Raw genomic sequence first — 26,030 nt, forward strand, 5'->3', positions numbered from 1 at the left:
CTCATTGTAGTTTTTCTCTGCATTTTTCTAATGATTAGTGATGAGCATTTATTTATTTATTTATTTATTTGAGATGGAGTCACACTCTGTTGCCCAGGCTGGAGTGCAGTGGCACGATCTTGGCTCACTGCAACCTCTCCCGCCTGAGTTCAAGCGATTCTTCTGCCTCAGCCTCCCGAGTAGCTGGGATTACAGGTGCCTGCCACCGTGCCTGGCTAATTTTTGTATTTTTAGTAGAGATGGGGTTTCACCATCTTGGTCAGGCTGGTCTCAAACTCCTGACCTCGTGATCCACCCGCCTTGGCCTCCCAAAGTGCTGGGATTATAGGCATGAGCCACCGCACCTGACAGAGCATTTTTAAAATTTACTTTTTAGCCACATGTATGTCTTCTTTTGAAAAGCATCTGTTCATGTTTTTTGCCTACTTTTTAATAAGGTTGTTTGTGTTTTTCTTACAAATTTGTTTGTTTCTTATGGATGCTGGATATTAGACCTTTGTGAGAAGCATAGTTTGCAAATATTTTATTTTATTCTGTAGTTTGTCTGTTGATAGTTTCCATTGCTGTGAAATAGCTAGTTTAATTACATCCTATTTGTCAGTTTTAGCTTTTGTTGCATTTGCTTTTGGCATCTTCGTCATGAAATCTCTGTCAGTTTCTATGTTAGAATGGTATTTCCTAGGTTAGTCTTCCAGGGTATTTTATAATTTTAAGTTTTACATTTAAATCTGTAACTCATGTTGAGTGATTTTTATATATGGTGTAGGAAAGGTATCCACTTTCAATGTTCTACATAGTGTTAGCTAGTTATTCTAGCATCATTTATTAAATACGGAATTCTTCCCGCATTCCTCATGTCAGCTTTGTGAGAAGACCAAATGGCTGTAGGTGTGTGGCATTATTTCTGGGCTCTATTGTGTTGCACTGGTCTATTGGTCTGTTTTTTGTTGTTGTTGTTGTTGTTTTATTTTTATTTATTTATTTTTTACCACTACCATGCTTCTTTGGTTACTGTAGCCCTGAAGTATAGTTTGAATTCAGGTAATGCAGTGCCTCCAGCTTTGTTCTTTTTGCTTGGAATTGCCTTGGCTATTTGAGCTCTTTGTTGTTCCATATGAATTTTAAAATAGGTGTTTTTTTTTTTTAAGTTCTGCTAAGAATGTTTTTGGGAGTTTGATGGGAATAATATTAGATCTGTACATTTCTTTGGGCAGTATGGCCATTTTAATAATTTTGATCTTTTCTATCCAAGAGCATAAAACGATTTTCCATTTATTTGTGTCATATCTAACTTCTTTAAGCAGTGTTTTGTAATTGTTGTTGTAGAGATCTTTCACTTTCCTGGTTAGCTGTATTCCTAAATATTCTTTTTGTAGCAATTGTGAATGAGATTGTGTTTTTGATTTGGTTTTCATCTTGGATGTTGTTGATGTAGAGGGATGCTACTGATTTTTGTGCATTTATTTTGTATTCTGAAATTTTGCTTCAGTTATTTTTCAGTTTAAAGAGCTTTTCTGTGAGGACTATAGGCTTTTCTAGATATGTTGTCTGCAAACAGGGATAGTTTGACTTGTTTGCTTACTATTTGGATGCCTTTTATTTTTGTCGCTTGCCTGATTGCTCTAGTGAGGACCACCAATTCTATGTTGAATAGGAGTGGTGAGAGAAAGCATCCTAGTCTTGTGCCAGTTTTCATGGAGAAATGCTTCTAGCTTTGTCCATTCCATATGTTGGTTGTGGGTTCCTCATAGATAACTCATTATTTTGAAGTATGTAGCTTCAGTGCCTACTTTGTTGAGGGCCTTTAATTATTTTAATGCGAAGGATGTTGAATTTTATTGAAAGCTTCTTCTGCATCTATTGCGATAATCTTGTGGTTTTTGTCTGTATTTCTGTTTATGTGATGAATCACATTTATTGATTTGTGTATGTTGAACCAACCTTATATGCCAGGGATAAAGTCTACTTGATCATAGTGGATTAGCTTTTATGATGTGCTGCTGGATTCAATTTGCCAGTATTTTGCTGATGATTTTTGCATAAATGGTCATCAAAGATATTGACCTGAAGTTTTCTTTTTTTGTTATATCTCTGTCAGGTTTTGGTATCATATGATACTGTTCTTATATAATGAGTTGGGAAGAGTGCCTTCTCAATTTTTTGGAATAGTTTTAGAAGAAATGGTACCGGCTCTTCTTTGTACATCTGGTAAAATTCAGCTGTAAATCTCTCTGGTCCTGAGCCTTTTTTGGTTGCTTGGCTATTTATTAGTAATTTAGTTTTGGAGCTTGTTATTGGTCTATTCAGGGATTCAATTTCTTTTTCTGCTCAGTCTTGGGAGGATGTATTTGTTCAGGAATTTATCCATTTCTTTTAGATTTTCTAGTTTGTGTGCATAGAGGTGTTCATAGCAGACTTCAACAGTTATTTGTGTTTTTGTGGGGTCAGTGGTAATGCTTCTTTTGTCATTTCTAATTGTGTTTATTTGGATCTTGTCTTTGTCATGAATCTAACTAGTGGTTTATTTAACTTATTAATTTTTTCAAAGATTTAACTCCTAGGTTTCTTGATCTTTTGTATAGTTTTTCATGTCTAAATTTCCTTTGGTACAGATGTGATTTTGGTTATTTCTTGCCTTCTGCTAGTTTAGAAGTTGGTTTCCTCTTGCTGCTCTCATGCTTTTGTTTATAATGTTAGTTTGTTAAATTGAGATCTTTTTAACTTTTTAATGTGAACATTTGGTGCTATAAATTTCCCTCTTAACACTGTGTCAGCTGTGTTGCAGTACTTTGTTCTCATTTGTTCCAAAGAATTTCTTGATTTCTCCCTTAATTTTGTTATTTACCAAAAAGTCATTCAGGTGCAGGTGTTTGTTTTGTGAGACAGAGTCTCACTCTGTCACCCAGTCTGGAGTGCAGTGGCACAATCTCGGCTCACTGCAACCTCTGCCTCCCGGGCTCAAGTGATTCTGTGCCTCAGCCTCCTGAGTAGCTGGGATTACAGGCATGCACCACCACGCCCGGCTAATTTTTGTATATTTAATAGAGGCAGGGTTTCACCATGTTGGTCAGGCTGGTCTCAAACTCCTGACCTCAAGTGATCTGCCTGCCTCTTCCTCCCAAAGTGCTGGGACTACAGGCATGAGCCACCATGCCCAGCCCAGGTTTTTTAATTTGTATGTAATTGTATGGTTTCAAGTGGTTTTCTTTGTATTCAATTATATTTTTATCAGGCTGTGATCTAAGTTTGTGGTTGGTATAATTTTGGGATGTTTGAATTTGCTGAGAATTGTTTTATTTCTGATTGTGGTCAGTTTTACAGTATGTGCCATATGGTGATGAGAAAAATGTATATTATGTAGTTTGTAGATGAAGAGTTTTGTAGCTGTCTATTAGGACTATTTGGTCAAGTGTTACATTTAGGTCCTGATATCTTTGTTAATTTTTTGCCTCAGTGATTTATTAGTGTCTGTGGGGTGTTGTAGTCTCCCACTATTACTGTGTCAGAATCTAAGTCTCTTTATAAATCTCTAAGAAATTGCTTTATTCATGTGCACCTGTGAAAGCAAATTAAATCTTGGGACTCCAAACTCATTAAGCCAAAGAGAGAAGTTAATCTGAGAACTGGGTCACACAAACCTGCCTTTCCCTTTTGGTTCCTAAATAAGATGGTTAAAAGATGAAAAGCTGCATACCTCCCCCCATATGTGTCCACAGTAAAATTCCTAGTGAGCTGCAGATCTTTACCCCAAGGTGTTTCTGTTAAAATTTTATCATAGAAATGTAAATTGATAGTTTATAGGTTCAGTCACTCCCCTTTCCATCAGACACAGATGCCTATCTGTTCCTCTGCCCCATTTTGTCTATGTTATCTTATGTAAAAATTCAGGTTCCCTGCATTTTTCTTCTGCCCTATTTGTCTGTGTCATCTTATGTTAAAAAAAATGCAGATTCACTGAGCCAGACAAAGGCATGAATGACTGTATTTTTCTATCCTCTTCTTACATGAAAATTGTATACTTACCAACATCCCACCCTTTTCCTTTTAAATATGAAGTCCTCAAAATGATCTTAGAAGAAAGACATAGACTTGTCTCCAGGGCACACCTCCTTAACTTTGGCAAAAAACCTCCTAAAATGATTGAGATTTGTCTTGTCATTTTTCTGGATTAACATACCCATGGATTTTTTTTTTTTTGAGATGGAGTTTCACTCTTGTTGCCCAGGCTGGAGTGCAGTGGCATGATTTTGGCTCACTGCAACCTCCATCTCCCAGGTTCAAGCCATTCACCTGCCTCAGCTTCCCAAGTAGCTGGGATTACAGGCATGCATCACCATGCCTGGCAAATTTTTGTATTTTTAGTAGAGACGGGGTTTTGCCATGTTGGTCAGGCTGGTCTCGAACTCATGACCTTAGGTGATCCACCCGCCTTGGCCTCTCAAAGTGCTGGGATTACAGGCATGAGCCACCGCACCTCGCCGGATTTTTTTTTTTATAACACCTTTCTCTCTTCTATTTTTTTTTCTGATAACATTCTTTCAGTTGCATACAGTGTGCAAAATTAAGATGTCCAAGAGTTCGGCTAGGCGTGGTGGCTCACGCCTGTAATCCCAGCACTTTGGGAGGCCGAGGCGGGCGGATCATGAGATCAGGAGATCGAGACCATCCTGGCTAACACGGTGAAACCCTGTCTCTACTAAAAATACAAAAATTAGATGGGCGTGGTAGTGGGTGCCTATAGACCCAGCTACTTGGGAGGCTGAGGCAGGAGAATGGTGTGAACCCGCAAGGCGGGGCTTGCAGTGAGCCAAGATCAAGCCACTGCACTCCAGCCTGGGCGACAGAGCAAGACTCTGTCTCAAAAAAAAAAAAAAAAAAAAAAAGGATGTCCAGGAGTTCAAAAACATGTCCAGAGACCTGTCTGTTGTAGGAGAAAATAAAAATTAGAAATAAGAGGCTTTATTCTCCTATGTGAAAAATAAGGGAGGATATTTTGCTAATCTCTTTTTTCTTAAAGGATTTAAATTATACATAGATTTTTGTCTTTGTTGTTTTGAACGATACATAAATTATATTAACAGCTAAATAAATTTTTGGTCATTGTTCTTGATTTGGGATTGTCTTTATCTGAGACCTCAGGTTTATTGCTTTGTTTTTGCTTTGGCAAATTTTTTAAAATTTTTTAATCTTTTAAAGTAGACACAGATTTGTTTAAATCAAAACTCATTTTAAGAGCACACAAAAGTTGAGCACAAAGATAGTATTAAATTTAGCAGTACTGAATAATGAGGACTAAAAAATGCTGAGTAAATTCCTTTGACAGAAAATGGATTATCCAACGTAATTATCTAATATTTGCAGGCTAAAATACTTCCATTGCAAAAGCGAGGTTCAGTGTATGAACCGAACAGTGGAGTATGTAGTTGTTCTTTGGTTTCTATTTATTACTTCAGAACAATTAGCATAGTTAGGTGTAGCATTTGTAGACAAACTGCATTCATATCAATTGAACAGTATTTTCTACACTAGTATAAATGTAAGGCCACAATATTTACTTTGAATGAATCCCTTAGTCATTTTAGTATTGTTATTCATACTTTCAAAACATAAAGTGTTTTAATTGAATTATGGTTACAGACAATATTTTAAAATCCTACATACATTATGACTAGTACACTAAAATTATTTATACTTAGGTATTTTATCCAATGTGAAAGAAAATTTACTACCAAATTATTATAGTAGATATTAGTATGATATGCTTACTAGTTTATTCAATAGAGATAATATTAGGGAAGCATGATTTTAGTGTCTTTTATTTCACTAAATTGGAATGCTGCTATTACAAGACAAATAAGGGTGATGTGGCCACTCAAAAACCATAATAGCTCTTCACTTAGCCATGATGCAAGCTCAAATATATTCCACTATATTAACAAAGTCATATTCCAATTGTTCATCAAAATGTTTTGGTGGAAATTGTCAGGCATATTCCAGTATAGATCTCCCATTCAATGGCTAGAAGATAAGAGAGCAGCAGAGATGAAAGAGGAACCTTACTTTGTGTTATGGTGTAGTCTGGATTGAAGAGACGACCCAAGCAGGCTTTGTGTGAGCAGTGAGGCTATTTATTCACTTGGGTGCGAGCTCACACGAAGCCTGCTTGGGTTTTCTCTTCAATCCAGACTGTGCCATAACACACATTTGATGCTGAAATCCGGGATAGGGGAACTCCTTTGGGAGTCGTGTCCCTTAACCCCTTCCCCCGACTTCTTGAAGAGACCCACCCGCGACCTCGGTACCTCGGACCAGCTCTGTAAAAGCCCCGCCTCTGCCTTCGGATAGGTAAGAGACCTCCATCCTTTCTCAAACTTTCCTTTTCTTAGAGAGGAGAGGACACTCACTGTCTGTGTTTCCTAAATCTAACATTGGTCATGGATTATCTCTGGGAAGACAGGCTTCCCTAGGTGACTGGTCAACCACAGGGACATGTGCCTTGGCCACTCATCCACTGCACAACCCAGATGGGGACACCTGCTGAAGGTCCTTGTGGTTGCTCTCCTCCTCGTTTCTCTCTCCCTGTCTCTCTGTTTCTTCAGTCCTCCGCTGTTCATTATGGGCACCCTTCCACCCTCCATTCCTCCTCCTTGTCCTTTGGACTGTGTCCTTAGGAATCTAAAACCGCTCCGTCTTTCACCTGATTTGGAACCTAAACATCTCATTTTCTTCTGTAATATGGCCTGGCCCCAATATAAATTAGACAGTGGCTCTCAGTGGCCAGAAAATGGCACTTTCAATTTCTCTATTTTGTGGGACTTAGACAACTTTTGTCACAAAATGGGCAAATGGTTTGAGGTTCCATACATCCAGGCATGTTTTACACTTCGGTCCCTCCCCAGCCCTTGTTCCCAATGCAATTTGTCTCAAATTCTCCTTCTGTCCCGCCCATCTGCTCCCCTACCACCCTCTGGCGACAGCGAGTCCTTCTTGTCCACAGACCCTTCCGATATTTCTCCTCCCTGCCCGTCCGACTCCGGTCCCAACCCTTCTCCAGACCCCAGTCCCCCTTCTACCCATACCATGCCTCCCTATATCCCTTCTGTCCCTACTCTGCCCCATACCCGAACTGGCTGACAATTTGGTCCCACTTCTAATCCCCCTCCTCCCACCCCACTATTTCCCCTTTGAGAGGTGGCTGGAGCTGAAGGGATAGTCCGAGTTCATGTTTCTTTCTCCCTGTCTGACCTGTCTCAGGTCAGCCAGTGTTTAGGTTCTTTTCCATAAGACTCCACTAAATATATCCAGGAATTTCAATATTTAACTCAGTCTTATAACCTCACCTGGAGTGACTTAAATGTCATCCTCACTTCTACACTCACTCCTGAAGAATGGGAGGGTGTTTGGGCCCTAGCTCAGTCCTATGCAGGTGACCACTGGCGCCTTGAGCCAGGTCTCCAGGGAGGTCCCCCGTGAGGACCCCCAGTGGAACTATCAAACAGGATCTCCTGGTATGGCCGGGCGAGATTATATGATCACTTGCTTAGTAGAGGGACTCCAAAAAGCTGCGTATAAGGCTGTCAATTATGATAAGTTAAAAGAAATCACTCAGGGCAAGGACGAAAATCCAGCCCAGTTTGTGGCCCATCTGGCCATAAATCCAGCTTTAGACCCTGAAGGGCCAGGGGCCAGAAGGCCGACTCATGCATTTTATTACCCAGTCAGCTCCCGACATTAGAAAAAAACTTCAAAAATTAGAGTCTGGCCCTCAAACCCCACAACAGGATTTAATTAACCTTGCCTTTAAGGTGTTCAGTAACAGGGAAGAGGCTACCTGGTGGCAGCGTGTTTCTGAATTACAGATGCTTGCCTCCGCCGTAAGACGAACCCCAGCCACACCAATGGCCTGTAGGGATTTCAAGGCATCCAGACCGCAGCGCCCAGCAGCCCCTCCAGGGCCATGCTTCAAGTGCCATAAAAATAGTCACTGGGCCAAGGAATGCCTGCAGCCTGGGGTTCCTCCTAAGCCATGCCCTGTTTGTGCAGGCCCTCACTGGAAGTCAGACTGTCCAACTCAAGCTGCCATCCCTAGAGCTCCTGGAGCTTAACCCCACAGCCCCCTGGCTGACTCCTTCTCTGATCTCCTCGGCTTGGCGGCTGAGGAATGACACTGCCCGAACACCTCGGAGGCCCCATGGACCATCATGGACCTCGGGTAACTCTTAAGGTGGAGGGTAAGTCCATCCCCTTTTTGATCGATATGGGGGCCACTCACTCCACCCTGCCCTCCTTTCAGGGACCTGTCTCCCTAGCCTCCATGACTGTTGTGGGAATTGACGGCAAAGCCTCCAGACCTCTCCAGACTCCACTTGTGTGTCAACTAGATCAGCACTCCTTTTTGCACTCCTTTTAGTCATCCCCACTTGTCCAGTCCCTCTCCTCGGCTGAGGCATCCTAACAAAACTGTCTGCCTCCCTCACTATTCCTAGGCTACAGCCACACCTCCTTGCCACCCTTCTCCCCAACCCTTCACCATCCCCACAAGCTCCTCTAACGTCTCCCTTCCTCAACCCCAGGGTCTGGGATATCATCTCTCCCTCCCTTGCTACAGATCACTCCCCCCTTATCATCCCTTTAAGGCCAAACCATCCTTACCCTGCCCAATGCCAGTATCCTATCCCTATGCCACCCCTAAAAGGCCTAAAGCCTTTTTACCCACTTTTTACAACATGGCCTCTTAGTACCCATTAACTCTCCCATCCTTCCCTTTCAAAAACCAGACAAGTCCTACATATTAGTTCAAGACCTTCGTCTCATCAATCAGATTGTACTTTTCATCCATTCTATAGTGCCAAACCCATATACTCTCTTGTCCAGAATACCTCCCACCACTACCTATTATTCCGTTCTCAGCCTAAAAGATGCCTTCTACACCATTCCCCTACATCCCTCCTCTCAACCTCTTTTTGCCTTCACCTGGACTGACGCTGACACCCATCAGTCCCAACAACTAACCTGGACCATTCTTCCCAGGGCTTCCGGAATAGCCCTCATTATTTTAGCCAAGCCCTTGCCTGCGACCTACTCTCTTTTCAGCCTTCCTTTTCCTACCTCATCCAGTATGTCGATGATCTCTGCAGTCTCTCCTAGGAATCCTCCCAACAGAATATCCTCCTACTCCTTCAGCATTTAGACTCTAAAGGGTACCGAATGTCCCCTTCTAAAGCTCAAATTTCTTCCCCTTCTGTTATTTGTCTCAGCATAATTCTCCATCAGCACACCCGCACTCCCCCCGCTGACCGTATTCACCTAATCTCCTAGACCCCAGTCCCTTCAAAAACAGCAGCTTCTCTCCTTCCTAGGCATCATTGGGTACTTCCACCTCTAGGTACCTGGTTTTGCCCTCTTAACAAAACCCCTTTATAAGCTTACAAAAGGCAACCTAGCTGACCCCATAGACCCCAAACCTTCCCTCATTCATCCTTTCACTCCCTGAAAAAAGCTCTTGAGACAGCCTCCTCACTGGCGTTCCTCGACTCCACCCAGCCCTTCTCTCTACATGGCAGAGGTAAAGGGATGTGCAGTTGGGGTCCTAACACAAGGGCCAGGCCCACGACCAGTGGCCTACTTATCTAAACTTGACCTCACAGTCCTAGGCTGGCTGCCCTGTTTACATGCTGCAGCGGCCACTGCCCTAATACTCCTAGAATCCCTCAAAATCACTGGTTACACCCCAGTTACCCTCTATAGCGCTCACAACCTCCAGAGTCTCATTTCTTCCTCTCACCTCACACAACTACTCTCCTCCCATCTCCTCCAGCTTTATTCACTCTTTATTTTAAACCCCATGCTAACCATTGCTCTTGGACCCAGTTTCAACCCAGCCTTTCACTTAGCACCCAACACATGTCCTGAGCCACATGACTGCATCTCCTTAATACACATGGCATCCTCCCCCTCTCCTCACATTTCTGTTTTTCCAGTCCCAAACCCAGATCACACTTGGTTTATTGATGGTAGTTCTTCAAGACCCAACCAATTTTCGCCAGCCAAGGCAGGTTATGCTATTTGTTGTGTCCCACACATCTGTTATCGAGGCTGCTGCACTTCCACCCTCCACCACCTCTCAGCAAGCTGAACTAATTGCTTTAACTCACGCTGTCTCTCTCTAAGGGAATGCACGTCAATATTTATACTGATTCCAGGTATGCTTTCCACATCCTTCATCACAGTGCTGCCATCTGGGTGGAAAGAGGTTTTCTAACCACACAAGGGTCTTCCATTATCAATGCCTTTCTCATAAAGGCCCTCCTTAAGGCTGCTCTTCTGCCAGCCAAGGCTGGAGTTGTCCACTGCAGAGGATGCCAAAAACCAACAGACCCTATCACTAAAGGAAATGCCCATGCCAGTAAAACAGCAAAAGAGGTGGCAAACACCTCAGTGTCTGCAGACGTTCCAGTCTCTGCTCCAAAAGACCAGTATATTTCTTTCTCATCTATTATCCCTACCTACTACTCTTCTTCTGAAAACCTGCTCTGCTAGTCCTTTCCAACTCACAAGGCAAGTGGTTCTTAGATCATAGAAAGTTCCTTCTTCCTGCCTCACAAGCGCAATCTATTCTCTTATCCCTCCATGACCGCTTCCATGTAGGATACAAGCCTTTGGCTCGCCTCCTAGAGCCCCTTATTTCTTTCTCATCATGGAAGTCCGTCCTTAAACAATCACTTCTTAATGTTCTGTCTGCCACTCCAAGGTTTTCTTAGGCCCCCTCCTTCCCCAGCACATCAGGCCTGAGGGTTTACTACTACACAAGATTGGCAAATTGACTTCACTCATATGCCTCGTGTCAAAAAATATAAGTACCTCCTAGTTTGGGTTGATACCTTCACCAGATGGGTCGAGGCCTTCCCTACTGGATCTGAAAAGGCTGCAGCAGTTTTTACCTCTCTTCTAACAGATATTGTTACCTGTTTCGGCCTCCCTACTTCCATCCAATCTGACAGTGGTCCAGCCTTCATTAGCCAAATCACCCAGGCAGTTTCCCAGGCCCTTGGCATCCAGTGGAATCTCCACACCCCATACCATCCTCATTCCTCAGGAAAGGTTGAAAGAGCCAACGGCCTCTTAAAAACTCACCCTCCAACTCCGAAAGGACTGGACTGTTCTCCTACCACTTGTGCTTCTCAGGATCTGAGCCACCGCCCATGAACCTACCAGGTATAGCCCATTCGAACTCTTATATGGTAGTACTTTTCTACTGGGGCCCAACCTCATCCCAGACACCAGTCCTCCAACAGGCTAGGAATGAAATCTGTCAGGCTGCTAACCTTCTTTTACCCACCTCAGATACCCAGCCATATGAGGACACTCTGGCCAGACAGCCCATCCTGATAAAGAGCTTAACCCCCTGATCTCTACAACCTCAGTGGACAGGACCCTTCCTGGTCGTTTATGGTACCCCAATGGCTGTCTGCTTACAAGATCCTCCTCAGTGGATTCACCCTTCCAGAGTAAAGCTGTGTCCATCTGACACTCAGCCTGACCCTTCTTCCTCCTCTTGGAAGTCGCAAGTACTCTCCCCGACCTCGTTAAAACTCACCGAAATCCCTGAAGAAACTTAAATGTCCTGCTCCTGTCCGCCCTGCTTCTTCACCCTCTTCCTCCACTCTATTTGCCAAGACATCTCCTGGTTTCATCCCCAAACTCCCACCTTAGATTCTCTCTTAAACTGGATAGATGATCTCATCTTTTAGGGCACTCTGTATAACTTCTTCCCAGATGAGACGCCTCTGTTTACCTTCCTACTCACTCTTTATCTATCCCTCCTGCTCCTTTGGCTACCTGGCATGGCCGCACTCCCACTTCCAGTAATGCCTAATTACCTCTACAAAACTCTCAACCCACTCTCTGTTAAACCAGTCCAACCCTTCTTTGGCAAAGGACGCTGGCTTTGCATTTCTCTATCAGCTACCACTTACGTTGCCACTCTCATTCCCACAAAAAACTGGGTAGTTACTAGCTTAACCTACCACCCTCGTAATGAAGGAAAAAGCCCCTTCTAACTCCTACATATGCAGTCATTGGCCAACTTCTCCATCAATGAAATGACCGAAAATACCCTGACAGGTCGTGCAGTTCAACTTTTACGCTCCTACATGTCCAGCCTCACCCATTACACAAGTAATGAAAAGCCCATACACGGCCCTGTGACTACAAACGCTGTCTTAACTTTCCAAGCCCCTTTATGCATCCAACACAACCTGTCATCAGGCCTACCTCTAGGTCACCTACTGTTCCATCAGTGCAACTACGCCTTGCAGCTTCAAGCCCCAACTGACTGTATTAACTTCCAGGTCTCCCAAACAGCTACATTCAAACAGCCTGTCCGCTTCTCAAAGCCCCCAGAAGTCATCAGCACCTCTCTGCTTAACAAACAATCCGGGTTTTGTAATGGCAGGCATACGCACTGCATGACCATTCACCCCTGGACCTCCTGCAGCAGCACTCCCACCACTGACGAATGCCTCCTTATCCCCTCTTTCGATTACCCTTCTGAGTGGCTCCTAGTAGATACAAAATGATTTTTCCTCCAATGGGAAAATAAAACACAGGGAGCCACTCAGCTTATCCCAAACATCCCTTTTCAGCCGCTCACTGGGGCCGCCTTGGCAAGTACCCTAGGGGTGTGGGAAAATGAAAACAAATTCACACACCTTTTTAACATACACAGCCAGTTCTGCCTACCCAGCCAAGGCATATTCTTCTTGTGTGGAACTTCAACCTATGTCTGCCTCACCACTAACTGGACAAGCACCTGTACCCTAATCTTCCTAAGCCCCAAAATTGACATTGCCCCTGGAAACCAAACCTTACCAGTCCCTGTCAGAGCCCAAGTCCATCAGCATAGGGCTGTGCAGATAATACCCTTGCTTATAGGACTAGGAGTTACCAATGCCACAGGAACTGGAATAGCAGGTTTGTCCCCTTCCCTGTCCTACTATCATACACTCTCAAAGGATCTCTCAGACAGCCTACAAGACATAGCAAAATCCACCCTTACTCTCCAATCCCAAATAGACTCCTTAGCAGCAGTAACTCTGCAGAACCACCGTGGCTTAGACCTCCTAACCGTCGAAAAAGGTGGGCTATGCACCTTTTTAGGGGAAGATTGTTTTTCCACCAACCAGTCTGGACTAGTACGAGATGCTGCCTCGCAGTTAAATGAAAAGGCTTCTAAAATCAGACAATGTCTTTCAGACTTTTAACACCAATCTTTGGAGCTGGGCGTTGTGGCTTCTCCCTATAGCTGGGCCCCTCATTTCCATCATTCTCCTTCTCCTATTTGGACCCTGCCTCTTCCGTCTAGCCTCTCAGTTCCTACAAAATCTCATTCAAGCTATTACCAATCAATCTATGCGACAAATGCTACTCCTAACTGCCCCTCAATGTCACCCCCACCCCAAGATCTCTCTCCCAATTAGGAGTCCATGCCGCCCCAAGTCCCGCTCGAAGAATCCCTGAGAAACATCACCCCGTCCACTTCTTTTCTTATTAAAACAAAAAGACAGGAATGTCATATCCCACAAATATGGCTGCATTATTGCCAGCAGGCCATTATTGACGGTGGGCCATTAAGAACTCTGTGACCAGCACATATGCCTCCAGACTTCCTGGAACCAGAAAACCTGCAACAACCAAAAACCACAAAAGAAGAACAACGGGTTTCTGTTCCAACTGGTTGATCAACTTCTTGAGTCAACAAGTCCCAAAACCATGTTGTAATTTTCCACCCGCCACTTTGCCCTGTAAAGACTGCTCTCCCTCACACCTCCGGGCTGACTCCCTTTTCCGATTCAGCCCACTAACACCCAAGTGAATAAACGGCCTTGTTGCTCACACAAAGTCTGCTTGGGTCTTCAATCCAGACCACGCTGTAACACACACTTACAAAATTCTGCTGAGAATATGCCCCCCGTTATTCATAATGCTCATGTTTTTCATACTGAGGGTAGCTGTGCACTTTGGGTTTTTACAGAGAAATGTGTTTTAGGGGAAGTTTTTCTGGCTGACTTGTTCAATCATATCTAATCTGAGTTTTTTTCTTAAGATGCTTTTCTTTTTTTTTCCCTCTCAATATAATCATTTTCAGAGTGAGCTGTTTTTCTCTTGAATGCATTGGGTGTCTGTTTTGGAAGCCCTATTACTATCCCATGGTGTCTGTTAATGAGGTGGGCTGTCATAGTGAGAACTCTTGGAGCTATCTCTATATGGACTCATGCTGGAAATCCAGCAGAGTGATTTCCATGTCACCATTACAAATAAAAAACTGAGGCTTAAACACTGCACCCATTCCCATTATTGTGAAGGTGCAATTCTACCCAGGAGGCCTGCAGGCTCTCCTCCTGCAACTCAGGCTTCATTCTCTGATGTGGCATTGAAGTGCTGCTGTGGCAGTTGGGGTTATATATAGGGTGCCAGGTGTGAGCTGTGTGCTGGGGGCTCTGCCTCAGTGGCAGATGGTAGGAGTCAAGAGAGGACACAAGCTACCAGGAGACGGCAAGCAGGAGGCACCTGGCTTTAAGTTGCAAAATTACCTTTTGTCATGAAGATGTGAAAAGTGTATTTTGTCATTGATTATAACCAATTAGCATATATGGATGACCTCCCAAATTACCAGGTGAATTTATGATGAACTATGTATGACATGTGCTGTAAATTTTTCTACTTGTGGACTAATTATTGTGACCGTCTTTCTGTCTTTGCAATCTCTTAAGCAGATTGACTGTGATGCATGTCACATTCTGGTTGAATTGTGTAATAAAACAGCTTTCTTTCTGTTCTATCATTGTGGAGTTACTCTGGAGCTGGAGAAAATTTTTCTTTTATTTATATTTTCCAAACACTGTCTAGAATTACCACACATGATATAAACATATAAGGTGCCAACCAAGCTTTAATCCAGAGGAGGCTTTTCCTTTCAGGCTTCCAGTCAACTCACAATTGTGCTGCAAAATGCATGCTGTCCCCTAAATATGCAGGCAGAATTGTGTCTCTGTCTATTTGGTGTTATAGTCCTCTACAGTCACCTCTAGAGAGCTAGGCCAGATTTCTACATACTTCACAGGGCAGCAGTTAACCATTTTACCTCTTTCAATGACTCTTGTATCTTTAGACCAGAAACTGCTTCAGAGATCATGGGACCCAGAAACCCAGAGTAACGTGTGCCTTAAGTAGACATGAGAATCTCCATATTTTTTCCCTTCCTCCTCTTTTTTTTTTTTTTTTTGACATGGGTTCTCACTCTGTTGCCCAGGCTGGAGTGCAGTGGCATGATCTCGGCTCACTGCAACCTCCACCTTCTGGGTTCAAATGATTCTTCTGCCTCAGCCTCCTGAGTAGCTGGGATTACAAGCACGCACCAAGACGTACAGCTAATTTTTGTATGTTTAGTGGAAGGGGGGGTTTCACCATGTTGGCCAGGCTGGTCTCAAACTCATGACCTCAGGTGATCTGCCTGCCTCGGCCTCCCAAAGTGCTGGTGTTACAGGTATGAGCCACCACACCCAACCCCTTCTTCCTCTTCTTAAAATACCCACAAATGTGTGGATGACACCTACTGCTACTGCACCCATCCAGGAACTAAATTTGCAGCTCCAAATTCTGAATCAGGGTCTTAAGATTTGGGAAAAAATAAAACCTTTTATCTGAGAAATGCAAATTCTTTTAGTTATAAGGTTCAGAGACATTAAAATAATACCACAATTATGTATTTCTCTGTTCTTTGAGCTAAGAATTTATCTCTTGAAACTGCTTGCTATTGCCACAAGTAGGTATAAATTAAACTAATAATGACACACTGGATCCTGTAACCCACACCCTATAGCTTAACAATGTTTATCCAATCAATAATCAATCTTATTTTTTTGTAAACAAATGAGAGTTTCTGACAAACAACTTTGTATCAGCCCACCCTCTTTCCCTCTCTTTTTGCCTTTACAAATCCACTTGCAGCTGCGCTAATCAAAGTGTAGATTCCTGGCAACATGAATCTTTGATCCCAGGTTACAATTCCCAATCTTGGCTCAAATAAACTCTCTACTTATATTCATGTAGCTTCAGCTTTTTCCTTTCAAGTAGACATATTATTTAGAATGTGCTAGAGCAGCCTCTATGAGGCGATCTCTCCTTTGGTTGTGCTCCACTTGCTGTAACACCCAAAAATGCAGAGGCAGGCTGCTCCCACCTAGAATCTGTACATAAGGTCTGGCCTCTCCCTGGAATTTACAAGACAGGGCCAGACTCTGGTTTGAGAAAGTACAGAAAACCAACAGGAGACATTTTCTGCATTGTGAGATGTCAACATAGACATCTTAAAGCTTCCCTTTGAGAGTGTTGCTCTTAGAACTTTTCAGATCTTGTTCAGTGACCTGCTACAGTTATGTGAGAGGATCCAGGTGTAAATAGAATCTGATGACAGATTCTGTAAGCGTAAACAAGCATCTTAGGGGTGAGAGATGAAGGCCACAAAGTATCGAGAGTCATGATCACAATTATACCTACCCGTAAAATGTAATACTGGACTAGAGTATTTTTTCTTTCCTTTTGCCCAAGAGCTAGCTAATTAGGACCCGTAATCTGGAGCTCCACTGTGGCAGTTCCACTTTCTATTTAGAATCAGCCTGAGTCTCTCCTGCCTGCCTTATCCTTGGCCATCAGCCCAGGGTCACTGGGAACTCTCTCACAATCACCTAGGCATCTTTGAGATATTTGAGGATGTCCAGAGCAGAATTGTGTCAGGTTGACAAGAGTGGTTAATTCTGCCTCTGTCTCAGTGTAAGAGAAATGAGACATCCTGTGTTTGCTCCTCCCCTCATACAAGAGATGTCTTTGGTTGGTATCCAGTTGAGAGTTTCCCAGTTTCCTGATAGTTGGATGAAAAACAAGGAGGAGGTCTGGAGACTCAAGCAGATAAACTAATTGCTACCATTTCATATGGCCCTTAGAAAAATAGATAAAGCAGTCATGGTCCCTACCATCTAGGAACTGTTAGTCTAGACTAGCAACTGAATACGTGGTTGAATTAAGCATCATATGGTTGGCAAAGTGAATAGATGTGTGGGAAAACGTGTGGGCTTTATTTGGGCCACTTTCTTTATATCGTTGTGACTTCTGAGGTCATCATTTGAATGAATGTTTATGACCACAAGAGTTTTAAATATTTTTATTTCTTTTACTTTGCTAAGAATACATATTTATCTTATAATAAAATTACCCTAGAAAACCCCAGGAGATTTGTTTAAATGGCTAATTAGTATATTTACACAGTTGATGGGTTGAGCAGAGTAATATATAGGGTTTACTCCCAGCTGCAGTTCTGTTCAGATTCACCCTTTTTGGAGGCTTTATTTAGGTCTGGCCCCACCCTGGAGTCTTGCCTCACAGAACTGATTAGAAGAGATCAGAGTTTTGGCTGGTGCCTTTCCGGAGTGGTTGCTAACAATTCCCGAATTCCACAAGGAGATAAATGGGAAAAAAAGGTATGCATTTTAGGGTCCTAATTTTTAAAATTTTTTATTAAAACCAGTATTTGCAGAGACATTCCATTTAGCAATGTGTTTTCTATTCCTGCAGATCCAGTAGTTTCCCACAAGTCACAAAAAAATAAACACAGTGAAAATTTATCTAAACCACATTAAACTGTCCTTTTCTGTATCCCTCTCATCTGACTATATTTAGCTTTTATCCTATACATTTTTTTATTCTTTTTTTTTTGAGACAGAGTCTCACTCTGTTGTCAGGCTGGCGTGCAGTGGAGCAATCTCAGCTCACTGCAGCTTTTGCCTCCCGGGTTCCAGCAATTCTCCTGCCTTAGCCTCCCTAGTAACTGGGATTACAGACATGTGCCACTGCACCCTGCTAATTTTGTATTTTTAGTAGAGACGGGGTTTCACCATGTTGGTCAGGCTGGTCTCGAACTCTTCAACCTCAGGTGATCCGCCTCTGCCTCCTAAAGTGCTGGGATTACAGGCGTGAGCCACCGCGCTCGGCCTAATTTTTGTATTTTTAGTAGAGACGGGGTTTCACCATGTTGGCCAGGATGGTCTCAATCTCTTGACCTCGTGATTTGCCTGCCTTGGCCTCCCAAAGTGCTGGGATTACAGGCATGAACCACAGTACCCGACTATCCTATACATTTTTTTAAAAATTCAATGACAGCTTATGGCTGCTTGGTAAATGTGTGTGTGTTTGTGTTTTTCAGGAACCACTGACATTTAAAGATGTCGCCATAGAATTCTCTCTGGAGGAGTGGCAATGCCTGGATACTGCACAGCGGGATTTATATAGGAATGTGTTGTTAGAGAACTACAGAAACCTGGTCTTTTTGGGTGAGGATAACTTCAATACACAATTCCCAAAATACCCTTAAAGTTTTATTTCTCTATTTCTGTAGACTGTTTTCTGGTAATTTATGCTTTGCATAAATGAGTTTCAGATCTCTGTTTTCAAGAAAATCCTTGAGATTTCTTTGTGTAGAAAATAATTCCTTCAAGATACTTCATCTTGACCTGAACTTTTCACATTAGTGAGCTAATCTGTATTTTTCACTCTAGATTAGTGATAATTCCAGAAATTTAGTGGCATGAAATATTGTTGCCCACGCCTTAAAATCTAATTTCCAACACCAATTTTTGATTCAATAGTACCAGATAGTAAAATTTAAAACCTACACATTTAAAATATTTTCTGAATATTTAGAAATATATGTTATAAATTAGTATTTATTCTATTACATCCTCTTTACTGAGCACCTTACTGGATTAGTAATTGGAGAATATGATTAAGATTCATGTTATATATTTATTTTCAATAAAACAGGTATTGCTGTCTCTAAGCCATATCTGATCACCTGTCTGGAGCAAAAAAAAGAGCCCTGGAATATAAAAAGACATGAGATGGTAGCCAAACCCCCAGGTAGGTGAGAGTGAAAGTGAATACAACAGATGACAAAGATGAAAGGTCAAAGGTCAAAGAAAAAGCCAGTCCTTAAAATATGATTTGGGAAGCTGTGTTCCAAAGGAAATAGTTTCTGGAAAGCCTGAGTTTTTTTTTCTTTTGCTGTCACATAGGGCATCTTCTGTCTTATGCTTTTAAATTCTCTAAGGATTCTACTTTCCCTTCAGTGATCTTTCTTCAAGTTCACAGTGACAGCCAAAGTTCTTTTCATGGCATATAAGAGAGTGCACAATCTGACTTTTTTATTGTTTTGGGGGACACACATACATCTGCATAATTTTGAAAACCTCTATGTTAAACTTTTTTAAGTTATTTTTTGCATCATATCTGAAATGTGTGAGTAGTGGTTTCTGTTCCATTGGGTTTTCTTTTATTTGTTGATTTTTCTGCCATTCCATTCTGTTGTTATTACTATAGTCTTGAAATATAGTTTGAAATTATAAACTATGATGTTCTTCTGCTTTGTTCTTTTTTCACAAAATTGCTTTGGCTCTTCAAAGTTTATTGTAGTTTCATGTAAATTTTAGAATTCTATTTTTCATTACTGTGAAAATAATGCCACTGGAATTTCAATAGGGAGTTTATTGAATCTATAGATCACTTTGGAAAACATGGTGCTTTATCAATATTTATTATTTCAATCCATATTCATAAAATATTTTAAAATTTATTTGTGTCTTCTCTAATTTCTTTCATTGTAAATTTTTTTTACCTCCTTGGTTTAATTTGTTCTCAAGAATATATTATCTTAATGGTATTATAAATAGGATTGTGTTCTTCCTCTGTTTTATCAGATAGTTTGTTTTGAGTGGATGGAACCATAATTTATACTTGTATGTTAATTTTATATTTTGGTAATTTGCTAAGTATATTTATCAGTTTTGATGGGTTTTAATGTACTGTTTATGGTTTTGTATGTGTAAGAGTATATGATCTGCAACCAGCAACTTTTTACTTGTCTTCAATTTCAGTGTTGTTTTATTTTATTTTATTTTTCTTTATTTATTTATTTGTGAGACAGAGTCTTGCTCTGTCGCCCAGGCTGGAGTGCAGTGGCGTGATCTCGGCTCACTGCAAACTCTGCCTCCCGGGTTCACACCATTCTCCTGCCTCAGCCTCCTGAGTAGCTGGGACTACAGGCGCCCTCTACCACACTCAGCTAATTTTTTTTTTTTTTTTTTTTTGTATTTTTAGTAGAGATGGGGTTTCACCATGTTAGCCAGGATGGTCTCGATCTCCTGACCTCATGATCTGCCCGTCTCGGCCTCCCAAAGTGCTGGGATTACAGGCGTGAGCCACCACGCCTGGCCAGTTTTTTTTTTTTTTTTCTTAACTAATTCTTTTGCCACATACTTTCAGTGCTATGATAAAAGCATTGACAATGGGCACAATATAGTTTTGCACTGGTGTCTGTGAATTTGAAAGAGCAAAAACCTCTTTAAGTTTTTATAAACTAATTTTAGGAGGTAAAGATCTTTTGTTGAGCCCCCAGGTGATGGGATGCCCTCTGGGTTTGTAGTGGAGAGGGGTTGTAGCTTAGTCACAAGGATGTTGGGTCTGCACTAGGGTCCACCTTTATTGGCTTGTTACTAGAAGCTTGGGTAGTTTTAATTCCCATTTTAGTTTTGGATAGACTGAATGTCCTTCAGGATGTTGCTCTGCAGGGCAGATATTAGGGCATGTTTTTGCAGTCGGGTCTGCATATGGTAGGCCTTATATCAGGATGTGGATGAGTATGGTTTTCACTGAATACCAGAGAGGATTTTTCCAGGTCACTGTGTGGGTTTTTTGTTTGTTTTTTTTGAGATGGAGTTTCGCTTTTCTTGCCCAGGCTGGAGTGCAGTGGCGTGATGTCGGCTCACTGCAACCTTTGCCTCCCGGGTTCAAGCGATTCTCGTGCTTCAGTCTCCCAAGTAGCTGGGATTACAGATGTGTGCCACCACGCCTGGCTAATTTTATATTTTTAGTAGAGACGGAGTTTTACCATGTTGGTCTGGCTGGTCTCGAACTCCTGACCTTAGGTGATCCACCCATCTCTACCGCCCAAAGTGCTGGGATTACAGGCGTGAGCCACCACACCCAGCCACTGTGTGGGTTTCTATGTAGGCAGAACTGACCATGAACTGTGGATCAGGGAGCTGGAACTGAGTCATTGAACTGTTTCAGGGACCACAGTAGAGGCCAAGGTCTGCAGGCCTGCCTGCATGGCTACAAATGAGTGTTCTCCTCCAGGCCTCTGGAAAGACAGGACCTCTCGCAGACTGTGGCTGGGAGAAGTTTGAGGTGATGACAGAGTTCAGAATTAGTGGGACCAAGTTGGGAGGGCCATTTCCTGGTCTGTAGCCAAGTACAGGGGTCTTGTAGTTTGCCTCCTGAATAAGGACCCGCCTTCTGAAAAGGAACACTTCTCAATCTTTGGCTCTAGCAGAGTTTCACAACTCCCTTCCTGGAACTCGGAGCTCTCTTAAAGGCACTTATTTTTTATTTATTTTCTTTTTTCTTTTTTTTTGTTTTTTTTTGTTTTTTGTTTTTAAAGGCACTTATTTTTTAGATGGGTTCTTGCTTTATAACTGAGGCTGGTCTTTAAATCCTGGTCTGAAGCAGTTCTTCAACCTGAATATACCATTTAGCTGTCATCGCAGGTGTGATACATGATGCCTGGCTCTCTCATAAATACATTTTTTTTGGTCAGGGATGGCTGATAAATGTTTTTGCTGTTGGGATATAAGAAAGTAGGGCACCTTTTATTTTTCCATCTTACTGATGTCACTCTGTATACATTTTTGTTTTTTATTTTCTACTTCAAATTTGTCTATAACTTCAGATTCAGACATTTAGGGCAATGTACTAGAATTTACAAGTTATGCCTAAAATAAATTAGATAATTAGTAGGCATTCTATATTTACTAAAATAGTTACTTACAAATTTGAGCTAGCTGTCGTTATAAACAAATTATAGGATTTTCACCCACTTTCTTCAGCCTATATCTAAATAATAATATAACTTATTCTCAAATACTTTTATATATTAGAGACTCTAACCATATTCTGTGCACACACACACACATACTTACACATATAAATATATATTACATACCCAAATAAATATATATATACATACACATATATTTTCTCTTTAGCAATGTAAGGGTATTCTTTGCTTCTAAAGTAAGGTTACAGAAGTTTTATTTTGTGTAAGAATAGCATATATTTTAAATATCAGAATTATCTCCACTTCCTTTTAAATACTCATTTATTAAAATTTTCTCATTAGCATCTTCTATTTATGATTATACTGCATTTTCTCTGAACTTTTACTGCCACACAACACATGCCAGTGATTCAAAATACCTGTCTTCCATGAGTACACACTTAAATATTGCAGTTATCTAGACAAATTCTTTCTTAATGGTACATCAATATTGCAAAAAAGATTTCATGAATAAACATTTTTCTTATTGTTTTGTAGTTCCATATTAGTGTGGTTTTTCAGTGTAGGTTTCTTAACATCAGATTATTGTGTTTTGTTTTATTTATGTAATTTTAGATAATTTGCAATTCTGTTTGTACACTTTTAAGTCAATGTGGGGTTTAAAAAATAAATTAGCCATATGTCTATTACAATCAGATTATATATGTGCGTGTTTTATATATAAATATGACCCAAATTTTGGTTATGGCTTATCTTGTTTATATTCTTTCTTAGCTGATTTTAAATGGTGGTTTTAGCTTGTCTAAGTAGTCATGGAAATCATCTTTTCACTGTGTGTTTAACGATGAATTTATATTTCCTTTGTGTGAGAGAAACAGTTTTGTGATTTGAGGCAATTTTTGAAAAGATTTATAATTCTATATTTTTTTCAGTTTTTCTTTAAAATATTGTTGTAAAAACTCATTACATAAAATATACAGTTTTAAATCTATTGAAGTGTACATTTCAAGGCCAGGCATGGTGGTGGCTCACATCTATAATCCCAGGATTTTGGAAAGCCAAGACAAAAGGATCGCTTGAGCCCAAAAGTTTGAGACCAGCTTGGAAAACATATGGAGATTCCCTCTCTACAATTTTTTTTTTTTTTAGATGGAGTCTCGCTCTGTTGCCCAGCTAAACATGATCTTGGCTCACTGCAACCTCCGCCTCCCAGGTTCAAGTGATTCTCCTGCCTCAGCCTCCCAAGTAGCTGGGATTACAGGTGTGCACCACCATGGCTGGCTAATTTTTGTATTTTTAGTAGAGACGGGGTTTCACCATGCTGGCCAGGCTGGTCTCGAACTCCTGACCTGATCCACCCGCCTCGGCCTTTCAAAGTGCTGGGATTACAGGCATGAGCCACCGCATCCAGCCTACAGTTTTTTTAAAAAAATAGCCAGGCATGGTAGTGTGCACCTGTTTTCCCAGCTCTTTGGGAGATTGAGAGAGGAGGATTACTTGAGCCTGGGAGTTAGTGGCTACAGTGAGTGATAATTGTGCCACTGCACTCCAGCTTGGGTGACAGAGTGAGACCTGGTCTCAAAAAAATATACTGTTCATTTCAGGCATGTTAAGTATATTCACATTGTTATTTAACAGACTTCTAGAAATTTTACATCTTGTGAAACTAAAATTCAATACCCGTTAAGTAACAACTGCCCATTTTACCCCTTTTCCAGCTCTTGACAAACACCCTTCCACTTTTGGTTTTTATGAGTGTGACTACTTAAGTTATCTCATGTAAGTGGAATCATGTAGTATCCATCAGTTTTTTACTAGCTTATTTTAGTGACATAATATTCTCAAAGTTTATCTTAAAATGTGACAAGATTTATTTATTTATTTATTTTTTATTTTTTATTATACTTTGTTTTAGGGTACATGTGCACAACATGCAGGTTTGTTACATATGTGTACATGTGCCATGTTGGTGTGCTGCACCCAGTAACTCGTCATTTACATTTGGTATATCTCCTAATGCTATCCCTCCCCCCTGCCCCCACCCCACAACAGTCCCCGGTGTGTGATGTTCCCCTTCCTGTGTCCAAGTGTTCTCATTGTTCAGTTCCCACCTATGAGTGAGAACATGCAGTGTTTGGTTTTTTGTCCTTGCGATAGTTTGCTGAGAATGATGGTTTCCAGCTTCATCCATGTCCCTACAAAGGACATGAACTCATCCTTTTTTATGGCTGCATAGTATTCCATGGTGTATATGTGCCACATTTTCTTAGTCCAGTCTATCATTGTTGGACATTTGGGTTGGTTCCAAGTCTTTGCTATTGTGAATAGTGCCACAATAAACATACATGTGCATGTGTCTTTATAGCAGCATGATTTATAATCCTTTGGGTATATACCCAGTAATGGGATGGCTGGGTCAAATGGTATTTCTAGTTCTAGATCCCTGAGGAATCGCCACACCGACTTCCACAATGGTTGAACTAGTTCACAGTCCCACCAACAGTGTAAAAGCGTTCTTATTTCTCCACATCCTCTCCAGCACCTGTTGTATGTATATGTTAAATTTTTTGATGTGTTTATAAGTAAAGGAACACCTGGGTTCCTTCAGCCTTTTGGCTTTTGTGAATACTGGTACAATAAACATAGATGTTCAAATATGTCTTTCAGGTCCTGTTTTGCATATTTTGGATATAGATTAAGAAATAGGATTTATTATTTGATACAGTATTTTATTTTTAATTATTTTAGAAACATAGCATTTTTTTTTTTTTTTTGAGACGGAGTCTCGCTTTGTCACCCAGGCTGGAGTGCAGTGGCTCAACCTCGGCTCACTGCAAGCTCCGCCTCCCGGGTTCACGCCATTCTCCTGCCTCAGCCTCTCCGAGTAGCTGGGACTACATGCGCCCGCCACCACGCCCGGCTAATTTTTTGTATTTTTTAGTAGAGACGGGGTTTCACCGTGGTCTCGAACTCCTGACCTCGTGATCCGCCCACCTCGGCCTCCCAAAGTGCTGGGATTACAAGCGTGAGCCACCGCGCCCGGCCGGTAAAACATAACATTTTAAAACAATGGCTGCATTCTTGTTTTTCACCAGAAGTCAATATGGGTTTCATTTTTATTGCATCATCAACAGATTTGGTGTCTTTAAAAAATTGATAATGGCCATTCTAATTGGTGTGAGGTGATTTTGTTTTTCATTGTGATTTTTATGCATTTCTCTACAAATGATAATTTACTGTGTTCTTTCAGTTGCGTTTTCTAATTTGTGTATCTTTTTTGATGAAAATTTAATTCAATTATTTGTCCATTTCTAAATGAAGTAATTCAACTTTATTGTTCAGTTTTAAGAGTTGTTTGTATATTTGTAATATTAACTTCTATCACATGTGATTTGCAAATATTTTCACTCATTTCCTAAGAGGTGTTGTCACTCTATTGAATGTTGTCTGTGATGTGCATTAATTTTAAATATAGTATAGTTGAATTTTTCTTTTTTTTTTTTCTTTGAGACTGTCTTGCTCTTGTTGCCCAGGCTAGAGTGCAGTGGTGTGATCTCAGCTCACTCCAACCTCTGCCTCCCAGGTTCAAGCATTCTCCTGCCTCAGCCTCTCCAGTAGCTGGGATTACAGGCTCCTGCCACCATGCCCAGATAATTTTGTATTTTTGGTAGAGACAGGGTTTCACCATGTTGCCCAGGCTGGTCTTGAACTTCTGACCTCAGGTGATCTGCCCACCTCAGCCTCCCAAAGTGCTGGAATTACAGGCGTGAGCTACCATGCCTGGCTTGTTGCTCTTGCATTTAATGTTGTATTTAAGAAAGTAATGCCAAGACCAATGTCATGTATTTTCTTTATATTCTTTTCTAAGAGATTTGTTATTTTTTATTTCTAAGTATTTTTTTAAAATATTTTTTGTATTTTCAAAGAGAATGGTTCAAAGAAATGATCCAACTTTATTTCATCAGTGTTGATATCCAGTTCTCAACATTATTTTTTGAAAAGATTATCTTTTCCCTCTTTTGTACTCGTGGCAACTTTGTAGAAGATCATTTGATTATATACAGATGGGTTCATTTCTGGTCTCTTC

General features: G+C 41.2%; 1 protein-coding gene, 1 non-coding gene and 1 pseudogene across 12 annotated transcripts in view; 2 read left to right on the forward strand and 1 right to left on the reverse strand.

The window, feature by feature from the left end:
* The window catches only part of ZNF107 (zinc finger protein 107), a 45,445-nt gene that overhangs the window by 6,859 nt on the left and 12,556 nt on the right, over nucleotides 1-26,030 (forward strand). For 2 of the 11 annotated variants that reach the window (NM_001013746.3, XM_047420452.1), the window contains exons 2-4: nucleotides 6,186-6,345; nucleotides 18,257-18,383; nucleotides 18,874-18,969. In NM_001013746.3, the coding sequence (NP_001013768.1) occupies nucleotides 18,951-18,969 (19 nt within the window). In that variant the 5' untranslated portion in view covers nucleotides 6,186-6,345; nucleotides 18,257-18,383; nucleotides 18,874-18,950. Of the gene's footprint in view, nucleotides 1-6,185; nucleotides 6,346-8,697; nucleotides 17,535-18,256; nucleotides 18,384-18,873; nucleotides 18,970-26,030 lie in introns of those variants that run through there. The other 9 variants (NR_104148.2, NR_104149.2, NM_001388026.1 and 6 more) reach the window with 7 other exon arrangements.
* On the reverse strand, nucleotides 5,963-14,402 carry BNIP3P11 (BCL2 interacting protein 3 pseudogene 11; annotated as a pseudogene).
* MIR6839 (microRNA 6839) lies at nucleotides 6,073-6,185 on the forward strand. Its single transcript, NR_106898.1, has one exon. It is a non-coding gene; the product is annotated as a microRNA 6839 (primary transcript).

Source organism: Homo sapiens, chromosome 7 (genome assembly GCF_000001405.40).
Source record: "Homo sapiens chromosome 7, GRCh38.p14 Primary Assembly".
Lineage (NCBI taxonomy): Eukaryota > Metazoa > Chordata > Mammalia > Primates > Hominidae > Homo > Homo sapiens.